The sequence below is a fragment of the Homo sapiens genome, chromosome 4 (assembly GCF_000001405.40).
Source record: "Homo sapiens chromosome 4, GRCh38.p14 Primary Assembly".
In the NCBI taxonomy this organism is placed as follows: Eukaryota; Metazoa; Chordata; class Mammalia; order Primates; family Hominidae; genus Homo; species Homo sapiens.
In genome coordinates, this window is record NC_000004.12 from 102,709,121 (window position 1) to 102,723,159 (window position 14,039).

At 38.6% G+C, this 14,039-nt stretch overlaps 1 protein-coding gene across 4 annotated transcripts in view, besides 1 other annotated feature; it reads right to left on the reverse strand.

Moving 5' to 3' along the window:
* Positions 1–14,039, reverse strand: part of MANBA (mannosidase beta) — a 130,199-nt gene that overhangs the window by 78,351 nt on the left and 37,809 nt on the right. For 3 of the 4 annotated variants that reach the window (NM_005908.4, XM_047415692.1, XM_047415693.1), the window contains 2 exons: positions 13,751–13,921; positions 5,318–5,441 (listed from right to left, as the gene is read on the reverse strand). In NM_005908.4, the coding sequence (NP_005899.3) occupies positions 5,318–5,441; positions 13,751–13,921 (295 nt within the window). Of the gene's footprint in view, positions 1–5,317; positions 5,442–13,750; positions 13,922–14,039 lie in introns of those variants that run through there. The other variant, XM_047415694.1, reaches the window with a different exon arrangement.
* Positions 8,632–8,926: a silencer, noted in NCBI's record as "tiled region #2283; HepG2 Repressive DNase matched - State 5:Enh, and K562 Repressive non-DNase unmatched - State 23:Low". NCBI's record gives its function as "represses a minimal TATA promoter and a strong SV40 promoter by Sharpr-MPRA in HepG2 and K562 cells {active_cell/tissue: HepG2 | K562}" and the evidence as "EXISTENCE:reporter gene assay evidence [ECO:0000049][PMID:27701403]".

Sequence of the window (14,039 nt, forward strand, 5' to 3'; positions counted from 1 at the left end):
AGCCTGGGCAACATAGCAAGGCCCCGTCAGGAAGGAAAGGAAAAGAAAGGAAAGGAGGGAGAGAGGGAGGAAAAAGGAAAAGGCAAGGCAAGGCAGAAAAGGAAAGGAAAGGAAAAAAGAAAGGAAGAAAGAAAGAAAGAGAGAGAGAGAAAGAAAAGAAAGAAAGGAAGGAAGGAAGGAAGGAAGGAAGGAAGAAAAGAAAAGAAAAAGAAAGGAAGGAAGGAAGGAAGGAAGAAAAGAAAAGAAAAAGAAAGGAAGGAAGGAAGAAAGAAAGAAAGAAAAAAAAGAAAGAAAGAAAGAGAAAGAGAGAGAGAGAAAGGAAGGAAGGAAGGAAATAGTGAACCTGAACGACTAATAATAAGTAGCAAGACTGAATCAGCAATAAAATCTTCCAACAGAAAAAAATCCAGGACTGGATGCCTTCACTGCCAAATTTTACCAAAGTTACAACGAAGAACTAATACCAATTCCACACAAACTATTCCAAAAATTGAAGAGGAGATAATTCTCTCTAACTCATTCCAGAGGTCAGCATCACGCTCATATCAAAACCACACAGAGAGGCAACAAGAAATAAATAAAAGGAAAGAAAAGAAAACTATAGCTCATTATCCCTGATTAGCATGGATCCAAAGATCCTCAACAAAATCCTAGCAAACCAACTCCAACAGTATATCAAAAAGATAATATACCATGAGCAAGCAGAATTTATCCCAGGGATGCAAGGATCTTACATTTGTACAAATCAATAAACGTGATACATCACATCAACAGAATGAAAGACAGAAAACAGATGATCATCTCAACAGATGCAGAAAAAGCATTTAATAAAATTCAATATCCCTTCATGATAAAAACTATCAACAAATTAGTCATAGAAGGAGCATACCTCAACATAATAAAAGCCATATATAAAAACCCAGAGCTAACATCACACCAAATGAGGAGGAGCTGAAAGTCTTTCCTCTAAGAACTAGAATGGGAAAAAGATGCCCACGTTCACCACTCCTATCCAATAAAATGCTGGAAGTCCTATCCAGGGCAATAAAGCAAGAGAAAAACATAAAAGGTACCAAATTGGAAAAGAGGAAGTAAAATTATTCCTCTTTGCAGATGACATGCTCTTACATCTGCAAAAACTTGGAAGATTCATAAAAAAATTCTTAGATCTGATAAATAAATTCAGCAAATTTGTAGGACACAAAGTCAACATACAAAAATTAGTAGTGTTTCTACACATCAATGATGAACTAGCTGAGAAAGAAATCAAGAAGGCAATCCCATTTACAATAGCTACAAAAAATAAAATACCTAGGAATAAATGTAACCAAAAAGGTGAAAGACCTCTACAAGGAAAACTATAAACGTCTGATGAAATAAATTGAAGAGGTCACACAAACAAATCGAAAAACATCCCATGCTCATGGGTTGGAAGAATTAATATCATTAAAATGACCACCATACTACCCAAAGCAATCTACAGAGTCAATGCAATCACTATCAAAATACCAAAGTCACTTTGTACAGAAATAGAAAAAAAATCCTACAGTTCATATGGAACCAAAAAAGAGCTCAAACAACCAAAGCAATCCTGAGTCAAAAGAAGGCATCACACTACCTGAAAACAGACACATAAACCAAAGGAACAGAGTGTAAACCCCAGAAATAAACCAACTTATTAATAACTAACTGATTTTTCACAAAGGCATCTTGGTCAGAGAACATGCATTGGAGAAAGAATACCCTCTTCAATCCTCTTCAATAAATGGTGCGGGGAAAATTGGATATCCATAAGCAGAAAAATGAAACTGGACTCTTATCTCTCACCATAAATAAAAATAAACTCAAGATGGATTAAAGACTTAAACATAAGACCTGAAACGATAAAACTACTAGAAGAAAACATACGAGAAGCATTTCAAGACATCGATCTAGACAAAGATTTTTATAGCTAAGACCTCAAAAGCAAAGATAACAAACATAAACATAGACAAATAGTACTATATTAAACTAAAAAGCTTCTTCACAGCAAAGGAAGCATTCAACAGAATGTAGAGACAACTTGTTGAATGGGAGAAAATATTTGCAGACTATTCATTTGACAAGGTACTAATATCTGGAATACACAAGGAACTCAACTGAACAGTAAAAAAGCAAATAACCCCATTTAAAAGTGGGCAAAGGACATGAATAGACATTTCTCTAAAGAAGACATACAAATGGCCAACAGGTATATGCACAAATGGTCAACATCACTAATCATCAGGGAACTGTAAATCAAAACCACAAATACTATCTTACTCCAGTTAGAATGACTATTACTGAAAAGACAAAAAATAATAGATGCTGGAGAGGATGCAGAGAAGAGGAAACATTTATACACGGTTGTGGGAATATGAGTGAGTACAGCCACAATGGAAATACTATATTTCTCAAGAAACTAATAGTAGAGTCATTACCATACAATCCAAGAATCCCACTAATAGGTAACTATCCACAGAAAAAGAAATCAGTATAACAAAAAGATACTTGCACCCCATGTTTACTGCAGCACTATTCACAATAGCAAAGATATAGAATCAACCTAAGTGTCCATCAACAGATGAATGGCTAAAAAAGAATAAAATCATGTCTTCCACAGCAACATGGATGGAACTGGAGGTCATTATGTTAAGTGAAATTAGACAGAGAAAGACAAATTTTGCATCTTGCCACTCACATGTCAGAGGTAAAAATGTTGATCTCATGGAGGTAGAGAGTGAAATAATAGAGACGAGAGGCTAGGAGGGGTATATGAGTGGCAGAGAGGAATGAAGAAAGGCTGATGAATGGGTACAAGCATGCATTTAAATAGAAGGAATAAGTTCTAATGTTTGACAGCATAATAGTGTGACTATACTTAACAACATGTATGGTATATTTCAAAATAGCTAGAAGAGAGGACTTGAAATATTCCCAACATAGAGAAATGATAAATACTAGAGGTGATAGATACCCGAATTACCTTGACTTGATCATTACACATTCTATGCATGTAACAAAATACCACACATACCCCATAAATATGTACAAATATTACGTGTCAATTTAAAAAATGTATTTAACCTTCACCAATGTAGTTGAGAGGAGGAACTGTTTACACTGAATCTAAATTGAATTTTAAGCATCATTTAAATTAATTCATATAAAATTCACTCAGTCACTAGTGACTAATAAAGTGAACTCTAATAACTCAGGAAGAAATGTTTAGTTTCATATTCAAATTGTAAATTAAACCAGAGCAGTATTATTCAAATTTTTTTCAGGCATCAGGGTACCCAGAGCTTATAATGCATTTTGCAGACCACCCAAAATACTGATTAAGCTTCAAAATAAATAAATAACTTTTTGCTAAATCGGACCACTTTTTTTTTTTTTTAAACAGCATCTCGCTCCATCACCCAGGCTGGAGTGCAGTGGTACAATCACAACTCACAGCAGCTCTACCTCCTGAGCTCAAGCGATCCTGCCACCTCAGCCTCTCGAGTAGCTGGGACTGCAGGTGAACGCCACCAGGCCTGGCTAATTTTTGTATTTTTTGTATTTTTTGTCAGAGATAGGATTTTGCCATGTTGTCTAGGTCGGTCTCTAACTCTTAGGCTCAGGGAATCCACCCACTTTGGCCTCCCAAAGTGCTGGAATTACAGGCATGAGCCACTGCGCTCAGCTCAGACCACTTCTCACACCAGATTCTGTTATTTATACCTGAGAAAACGTATGGGTGGTAGCATGGGATGAAGGGAGATTAAACCATTATTTGATTTTAGTAGCGAAAATCTTTAGTTGGATTACACCTCAGAAGAATAGTTTGGGAAGCACTAAACTAGAGAATTATAAGCACAGCCACATTTACATGTGCAATTTAAATTAGATCTTTTAATGCCTTTTTAAAGTTTAAAAATACCAACAGCACCAAATAACCTCCTCAAATCTAAGCATCTATCATTTGCTTTCATCTTCTGCCTTCAGAAAATACAGATTTGGCTCAATTGAATAGCAAGCTAAGGTCACCAGGGCTCTCAAGATAACAGAACTCTTGAACTGACACACCACATTCTTTCTTACTGATTTCATCTAGTTAGGCCTCCGTGTGATTACACTGAGCATTGCACGCTCTCATTTAAGATCTCACTTGCCTCCATCTTCATCCTTCATTTCCCTAACTTCTCAAATCCTCACTGATCTTTGATTTTCTGGCTCTTATCTTGGAAGGTTATTTGTTTTGTTTGGTAATTGTTTGTATCTCCCCTCCCCACACATGAAGGGATCAGTGTACCTACTCTATTTCTTTTATCAAATAAACACAGCGCTGAGCAAAGAAAGCAACAAATATTTAACCAGCTTTTAACTTATCCACTGACATCTGTGAGATTTCTGAGGTTCTATTTCAATGCTCCTTGATATTGAATAGTTGCTTCAACTTAAAAAGTACTATTTTTCACCTTAGAAATATTTCTTTTGGCCAGGCGCAGTGGCTTACGCCTGTAATCCCAGCACTTTGGGAGGCTGAGGCGGGCAGATCACCTGAGGTCAGGAGTTCGAGACTGGCCAATATGGAGAAACCCCATCTCTACTAAAAATACAAAATTAGCTGGGCGTGGTGGCACATGCCTGTAATCACAGCTACTCAGGAGGCTGAGGCAGGAGAATCGCTTGAACCCGGGAGGCAGAGGCTGCAGTGAGCCAAGATTGTGCCACTGCACTCCAGGCTGGGCAACAAGAGTGAAACTCCATCTCAAAAAAAAAAAAAAAAAAAGAAAAGAAAAGAAATCTTTCTTTTGCCCTGTTTACCTTCCAGTTTATTTTTAACTCTTCACAAGGCTGTTGTGTCAGGGCCCTTGTGTCAGGGCCCTCAGAGTAGTGCTCTGGGTTATGAAGAAAATGTACAGAGACAGAAAGCCAGTCTAACGGTGTGAGCAAAGCAAGAATTTGACACTAAAAGTGACTACAGAGGCAGCAAAAAGGAGCACAGCCAGCAGGCCCAGTTCTTTCAAGAAAGAATACTTATCTCAGGAAAACTTGGCGCTGCTCTTCCATTTTATTTTTTCCTTTTTCTGTAAAATATGCTAAAAGATACCTACCTACATATCTGCTTTATATTGTCAATTTTCATGTAAAATCAGTTTGTACCTATTTTTTACTTTTATAAATTGATTGTACCACAAAGTTTTTAAAAATTCTAAATCTCTGAAAAACATACCTCTGTATTTCAATTATAAACCCAATTTTTATAACAAGAAGACTCAAAAAGAAAAAAAAATCACATCTTTCAGCTTACCATATATTGGGGAAAATGTGAAGTAGTTCAGGTGACAAATATTATAGGCTTCAATTCTAACATCTTTCCAGATTCCCTGGGTAGGAAAGGAAGGCCCCCAGTCCCAACTAAAGGAACATTGCTCCTGCAATTTCAAGGAGAAAAAGAAGATATATTCTGATTATGGTGAAATTTAAACATTATGAAAAACATTTTCTTTAAAAATGTTACATATGTGTATATAAGTTTGCTATGGCAGCCATAACAAAGTATCACAAACTAAGTGGTTTAAACAATGGAAATGTATTTTCTCACAGTGAAGTCCAAGATCAAGCTATCAGCAGGTTTGGTTCCTCCTGAAGCCGATCTCCTCTGTTTGCACTGTGTCCTCACATGGTCTTTTTCTGTGCTAGGCATCCCTGGTGTCTCTCTCCATTGTCCAAATGTCCCCTTCTTAAAAGGACACTAGTTGTATTGGAATAGGGCCCACACTAACTGCCTCATTTTATCTTAATCACCCCTTAAAGACCTTCTCCAAATATGATTACATTCTGAGATACCAGAGGTTAGGACTTCAACATATGAATTTGGGGGGACCACAAGTTAGTGCAAAACTGTGTGTGCCCCCCAACCACCATACACAGCCTCTGAGGTGGCCCACAATGATCCCCCCTTTGAAGTGACCTAGTGAATCACTTCTAACCACCAGCATATAGCAAAAATGATGTGATTTTATTAATTAGGTTATAAGAGACTAAGCCTTGAATTTTGGGTACTCTCTCATGCCCTCTCTTGGCCAAGAGGGAAGCCAGCCTCTGTGTCATGGGGCAGCTCTGCGGAGAGACCCATATGGGCAATCTGAGGTCTGCCAATAACTACAAGTGAGCTCAGAAACAGACTCTTCAGCCTTGAGTCAACTTGAGCCAAGCCTTGAGACAACTGCAGCCATGAGACCTTAAGCCAGAGGCACCCAGCTGAGCCACACTCAACTCAGATTCCTAACTAACAGAAGCTATCATAATAAATGTTTTGTTTATATTATTTTTTAGAAATCAGAAAACCTATAGTCCACATATTTTCTTTTTTTAACTTTTAAGTTCAGGGGTACAAGTGCAGGTTTGTTATATAGGTAAACTTGTGTCATGGGGGTTTGTCATAGAGATTATTTCATCATCCAGCTATTAAGCCTAGTACCCATTAGTTATTTTTCCTGATCTTCTCTCTCCTCCCACCCTCCACCTTCTGGCAGGCCCCAGGGTGTGTTGTTCCCCTCTATGTGTCCATGTGTTCTCATCAATAAATGTTGTTTTAAGCTGATAAGTTTTGGCATAATTTGTTACATCACAATAGATAACTGATACAATATCCAATATATCCAATATATCTATGTTGCACGTAACCTATGAAACAGATAAATTTGGCAGAAATGTTCTAAGAACATAAAATCTATGAAGAGTTGTACATTTATTCTTCAAATGCTTACTACATTGAAGCAACTCAATAGTTCCTCTTTAAATTTCTCTATAATATCTCTGAACCTAACCATTGTATTTAAATCTAATAGTTACAAAGAATATTGTGCTTACATGTAATAATTAAAAAGAATGAGGAGGCCGGGCGCAGTGGCTCACGCATGTAATATCAACACTTTGGGAGGCCGAGGCGGGTGGATCATCTGAGGTTGGGAGTTCAAGGCCAGCCTGACCAACATGGAGAAACCCCGTCTCTACTAAAAATACAAAATTAGTTGGGTGTGGTGGTATATGCCTGTAATCCCAGCTACTCAAGAGGCTCAGGCAGGAGAATCGCTTGAACCCGGGAGGCGGAGGTTATAGTGAGTTGAGATCGCACCACTGCACTCCAGCCTGGGCAACAAGAGTGAAACTCAGTCTCAAAAAAAAAAAAAAAAAAAAAAAAAAGAATGAGGAAACATATTGAAAGACAAACACTTATAAATAGGTTTTAAAAAGCTCTGGCTAAACTTGCCAACCTCAGGTATGAATTCAGAAGTCCTTGTTTCTGAACGTGAAGCCCAAAAGCAATCAGTTCGATCTTTAGCCCCTGAAACAGGTGGCCAAGGCAGACATTTTATCCAATCTTATTTGACCTGGGTACCTGTCTCTCCCTTGATGACACTCAACTTCCATATTAAGTTACAGAGTTCAAATTCAAAAATAAGAAATAATTCTGTAAAATAAATCCCTTTCACACAGAATGTTTTCTAATTTCTACTTCTTAAAAGAAAAAAATATTTTCAGAACAGTTAATTAAAATGTGTAAAGCTATAAGTTCAGCTTTTAAAAAGGAATAAGTTTGGGTCATACATTTTATGGGGGGAAAAAAAGTAACAAGCACCAGAGGAAATACTAAAATCCTTCTAGATGGAGTCATTTGTGAAATAGAACCTGAAGATTTGGCCAAACTGTTGTCATTTGGGTATTATTTCCTTAGCTCTGTACTCACCTAAGATAGAGACAAATTTGTTTTTACTATGGAGAAAAACAAAGAACTAAAGTTACTTTATAGCATCCACATCTGTCTAAATTTACCACTTAAGCACCAGATTCTCATATTCAGAATGAAAACCATCTTGGGGACATTTATGGGAGAATTTTAGTATCTATTTGTAATTTTTTCATTGGAGATAGGGAAAAGAAGGAGAGCAAAATAATCAACATCTTATGAGGGAGACTATTTTCCCCATTAAGAGCTACAAATCACTCTTAACCTCTTCAAGAAGTATTTATTAAGTGCCTTCTATGTTTCAGGCTGGGAGTACTTCAATATACACAACAGACACAGCTCTTCTGCTTATAATGCTCACAGTCAAGCACGAAATTCAAGCATTGAATAAATAATTACAAGTATAATGAGTTTTACAATGGAAATAGGCAGGGAACATACAGTGAGAGGTTGAGGAGGATGGGTATCAAGATGAGTTTTCCTGAAAAAAAAAAAAAAGACCCTGAAGGGTGAGTACCGTTTATCCACTGTGAGCAGGCAGGAACTTTTTTTTTTTTTTTTTGAGATGTCTCACTCTGTCACCCAGGCTGGAGTATAGTGACACAATCTTGGCTCACTGCAGCCTCAACCTCCAGGCTCCTCCCACCTCAGCCTCCTGAGTGGCAGGGACTACAGGCTAATTTTTGTATTTTTTTTTAGACTTGGGGTTTTGTCATGTTGTCCAAGCTGATCTTAAGCTCCTGAACTCAAGTGATCCACCTGCCTTGGCCTGCCAAAGTGCTGGGATTACAGTCATGAGTCACTGTGCCGGCCCAGAAGCATTCCTTTCAGAAGGAACAGCATGTGCAAAGGTCTGGAGGTGCAGGACAGTCTGATGCATTCCAGAAGCTGAAGAGAGAACAATGGGAAGAGGCAGGGAGATGACTGGAGAAGTGAGCATGGGCCAGACAGAGCTAAGACCCATGGACACTGGCCTAAAGGCAATGAGAAGCTGTTGAAGAGTTTGAAGAAAAGCAGTGCTGTGATCATTTTTTTCTGAAAAGACCATTCTAGCTGCTCTGTAAATGATTAACTAGAGGAAGGCAAGTGAAGTTTCAGGGATGCCAGTTAGGCAACCAGGGCAATATTTCATGCAAGGCATGACTGAACTCAAGACACAGTGGCAGAAATGAAATGTGAACAGACTGAAGAGCTATTGAAGAGGTACTATTCACATCATCAAGAGGACTAAGCAATAGATTGGAAGAGAGAAAAAGGAGAGAAAGGTGTCAAGAAAAACTCAAGTTTCTGGCTTGAGCACCTGTTGTGGATAGTATTCCATTCAGCAAGAGACAGAACCCTGGGAGAAGGACTTAAATCACAAGTGCGGTGTGGCGCATACTGAGCTTTAGGTCCCTGTGAATCAGACAAGTGATGATGCTAAATAAGCATCTGAATGTAAGGTCTGGAATTGAAGACAAGTTGGACGGAAGACACAATATTGGGAGACAATGGCAAATAGATTTGTTATGGAAGAAATGAAAAATGAGATAGCCTAGAGAGGGTATAAAATGAGAAAAGAGTCTAGAACAGAGAAAGGCCCTATAATATAACTTTTAGGAGAACAAGGATGTGGATAAAGAGACTTACAAGGAACGGCCAGAGATGTAAACGGAAAACAAGGAAGATGGCATCAAACACTGGTAAGAGGGTAGCAGAAGTGATGAGTCCCACTATCCATTCTGGACAGAAAAGGAAGCAGAGACAATAGGGGACTTAGGTTGCTACAGGGAAAGTGGAGGTTCAAAGAACTGGTGAAAGAGAATATCAGGGGAACCAGCCCCCAATATTTCAACATAGGTTCTTTTCTATTTTCCCTAAGTGTCAGCCAGTCTGAGAAATAAACAGAAAGAGTACAAAGAGAGAAATTTTACAGCTGGGCCTCTGGGGATGACATCACATATTGGTAGGACCGTGATGACGACCCCAAGCCACAAAACCAGCAAGTTTTTATTAGGGATTTTAACAGGGGAGGGGGTGTACAAACAGGGAGTAAGTCACAAAGATCACATGCTTCAAAGGGCAATAAAGATCACAAGGCAAGGCAAAATTAGAATTACTGATGACAGTCTATGTCCCGCTGTGCAAACATTGTCTTGATAAGCATCTTAACAGGAAACAGGGTTCGAGAGCAGAGAATCAGTCTGACTAGAATTTACCAGGCTGGAATTTCCCAATCCTAGTAAGCCTGAGGGTACTGCAGGAGACCAGGGTGTATTTCAGTCCTTATCTCAACCGCATAAGACAGACACTCCCAGGGTGGCCGTCTACAGACCTACCCCCAGGAATGCATTCCTTCCCCAGGGTTACTCCTTGCTGGGAAAAGAATTCAGCGATATTTCTCCTACTTGCACATCCGTTTATAGGCTTTCTGCAAGAAGATAAATATGGCTCTATTCTGCCTGACCCCACAGGCAGTCAGATGTTATGGTTATCTTCCCTTCTTCCCTGAAAATCGCCGTTATTCTGTTCTTTTTCAGGGTGCACTGATCATATTGTTCAAACACACATTTTACAATCAGATTTCATATTGTTCAAACACACATGTTCTACAATCAATTTGTACAATAGTGGTCCTGAGGTGATGTACAGTCTCAGTTTATGAAGATAACAGGATTAAGAGATTAAAGTAAAGACCCCACTAACTTCATATAACCTAAGCTGAGCATCTTGTTCATTACCTGTAATTATAGTAATAAGCCTCCAAAATAGATATCACCACTCTACTTTTTGAATGGTTGTATAGCACTTTACAACATGCAAAGTGCATTTACATTGTTATTTCACTATATCTTCATATCAGGGATTAGCTCCATGTACAAATGACGGGCATACCTCAAGTTATTCTATGTTCACAAAGCCAGAATTCAGACCCAAGACTCTTCACTTGGTCTCCAACTCAGGTGTCTTCCCACTGGACCATGTCAATCTAGTCAGAAATACCTAGATGCAACTTGCAATTGTTCTGGAAGCCTACCCAGAGGTTAGTGTCCAAAACATTGTGATAGCAGAAAACTGGATCTGATTCCTGATGTTAGTGACAAAGGGCTATGTTCTATCTAGATAACTTGAGAGTATGTTTTAAATGCCACAAATTGAATAGAGGGTGGAGCAAAATAGCATATGGATATATGTATAACATTTATATTATCTTTATTGATGACTTGAAAAGTAACTTTTCACATTAGGATCCAGGATAGTTTCAGTTTTGATAAAGGTTAAAAATGGAAGGGGAAGCCAGCACAGTAGCTCACGCCTGTAATCCCAGCACTTTGGGAGGCCAAGGTGGGTGGATCACCTGAGGTCAGGAGTTCATGAGCAGCCTGGCCAACATGGTGAAACCCCATCTCTACTAAAACTACAAAAATTAGCCGGGCATGGTGGCAGGCGCCTGTAGTCCTAGCTACTTGGGAGGCTGAGGCAAAAGAATGGCGTGAACCCAGGAGGCGGAGCTTGCAGTGAGCTGAGATTGTGCCACTGCACTCCAGCCTGGGCAACAGAGCAAGACTCAGTCTCAAAAAAAAAAAAATACAAAAATTAGCCGGGCATGGTGGCAGGCGCCTGTAATCCCAGCTACTCGGGAGGCTGAGGCAGGAGAATCACTTGAACCCGGGAGGCAGAGGTTGCAGTGAGCCGAGGTCATGCCACTGCACTCCAGCCTGGGCAACAGAGTCAGACTTCATCTCAAAAAAAAAAAAGGAAGGGGAGAGGGAAAAAGTACAACCTCTAGCATTTAAACCACTGTGTCATTGGAAGCCAAAGGCAAAAGAATCAAAAGATAAATCTTATCCAGACTTATAAGCAGACAAATATTCCATGGAATACTTGACTACTGAAAATTGTCAAAGCAATACTCTAAGGCTGTTATTACAGTAATTTGAACAAATGGTCAATGGGTCATTGACACAAGTTTAGGTAGGTTGAATCAAACAGGAGGAGGTATAATTTTAATCCTAGTACTTATATTAAGGAAACATAATTTAATAGTAAATCAATCCAGCTGAAAAAGAGCCATTTAATTTAATCAGAACATATTAGCTAATGTAACAGTTCTACCTAAAGAGTATTGGGAAAATATGTTTAGTATCTTCACAATGAGCCCAATCATTACATTTGTTGTTAAAACTAAATTTCATGGCTCACGCCTGTAATCCCAACACTTTGGGAGGCCGAGGCGGGTGGATCACCTGAGGTCAGGAGTTCAAGAGCAGCCTGGCCAACATGGCGAAACTCCGTCTCTACTAAAAATTAAAAAATTAGCCAAGTGTGGCAGTGCATGCGTGGAATCCCAGCTACTCAGGGGGCTGAGGCAAGAGAATTGTTTTAACACGGGAGGCGGAGGTTGCAGTGAGCCGAGATCTCGCTACTGCACTCTAGCTTGAGCAACAGAGCAAGACTCCATCTCAAATACATAAATAAATAAATAAATAAATAAATAAATTCAATCCATCAAAAAATTAAAAATAGAATTACCATATGATCCAACCATACTATTTCTGGGAATATATCCAAAAGAACTGAAAGAAGGGTCATGTAAAGATATTTGTACACCCATGTTCATAGCAGCATTATTCACAATAGTCAAAAGGTGGAAGCAACCTAAACGTCCGTCAACAGATGAATGGATAAACAAAATGTGGTATATGCATAGAATGGTATGTTATTCAGCCTTAAAATGTAAAGAAATTCTCTCACATGCTACAACATGGATGAATCATGAGGAAATTATGCTAAGTGAAATAAGTCAGTCACAAAAAGACAAATACTGTATGATTCCACTTATATAACATTTCTAGGGGAATCAAACACATAGAAAAGAGTAGAATGGGCCAAGCATGGTGGCTCACACCTGTAATCCCGGCACTTTGGGAGGCCAAAGTGGGCAGATTGCTTGAGCCTTAGAGTTAGAGACCAGCCTGGGCAACATGGCAAAATCCTGTCTCTACAAAAAAAATACAAAAATTATCTGGGCATGGTGGTGTTCGCCTGTAGTCCTAGCTACTCAAGAGACCTAGGTGGGAGCATCGCTTGAGCCCAGAAGGTGGAGGCTGCGGTGAGTTGTGATCGCACCACTGTACTCCAGCCTGGGCGACAGAGTGTGACCCAGTCTCAAAAAAAAAAAAAAAAAAAAAGAGAAAGAAAAGAAAAGAGTAGAATGCTGGTTGCAAGGGGCTGGGGAGAAGGAAATGGAGAGCTATTGTTTAAACAATAATGGGTATAATATAATATAATGGGTAATGGGTAGAGTTTCAGTTTTGCAAGGTGAGAAAGCTCTGTGGTTACTTAATGTAAATATACTTAACACTACTAAACTGTACACTTAAAAATTATTAAAGTGATAAATTTTATGTACAGTTTATACAATTAAAATTTTTAAAATATGAAGTAAAATGAAATAAACATTAAAAAACCAAATGTCACATAGAATACTGATTCAATCATGTAGTAAAATAGATCCAAGTCCTCTTAGACTGGAATCATACTCTAAGAAAAATAATTACTTTTGTGGACTTTGTTATCTTTTTGTTAGATTTTATGAGAACCTGACAGTAAGATGCAAGAACATATCATCAAATATACTAATATTTGCAGAGGGCTTCCTAGAAACAAGAATCACTAATACATTTTCACAATCTGGTGAAAAGTTTGATAAACTTAAATGTTAAAAAAATAATTTGTAAAGTTCCATTATCAGCCACATATTTTTCCTTTCTTTTTCTGTTACCTAAGTTCTGAACACGCTTCAGGAAGAAAACTTAGAAAAAGATAAAGATTCTCCACAATATTTCAAATAATCTTTTGGTTCTTATTTCAAATTTTCAAACCCCACTAAGGGATCAGGAAAGAGATTCCTAACTTCTGAAATGCCATGGGAGTCTTCAAATAAGCATTTCATATGCCAGCACACCCCGTCCTCAAAAATAAAACCCGACCTGTTTGAGAGACCATTACCTTCCGAACAAAGTTGACATGGCATTCACCCTTCTGCACAAGTGGAGGGCAGTCTGGGGGAACCTGGTAGCGAGTGTGAGCTTTGCTCTGCTGTGCTGCATACAACACCGCTGACTGGAAACGCAGCTCAATGGAGTTCACGTCCCTGACCACGTTGGTAATATCAAAGCTCTAAGTTAAAGGGAACAATCAGACAAACCCATGATGTGGAAGTAGTCTTGTGTGTAAAATTTTAGATAAAGGCATTTTGTATGAAAGACACATAATATAATGCCGATCTAGGTTTAGC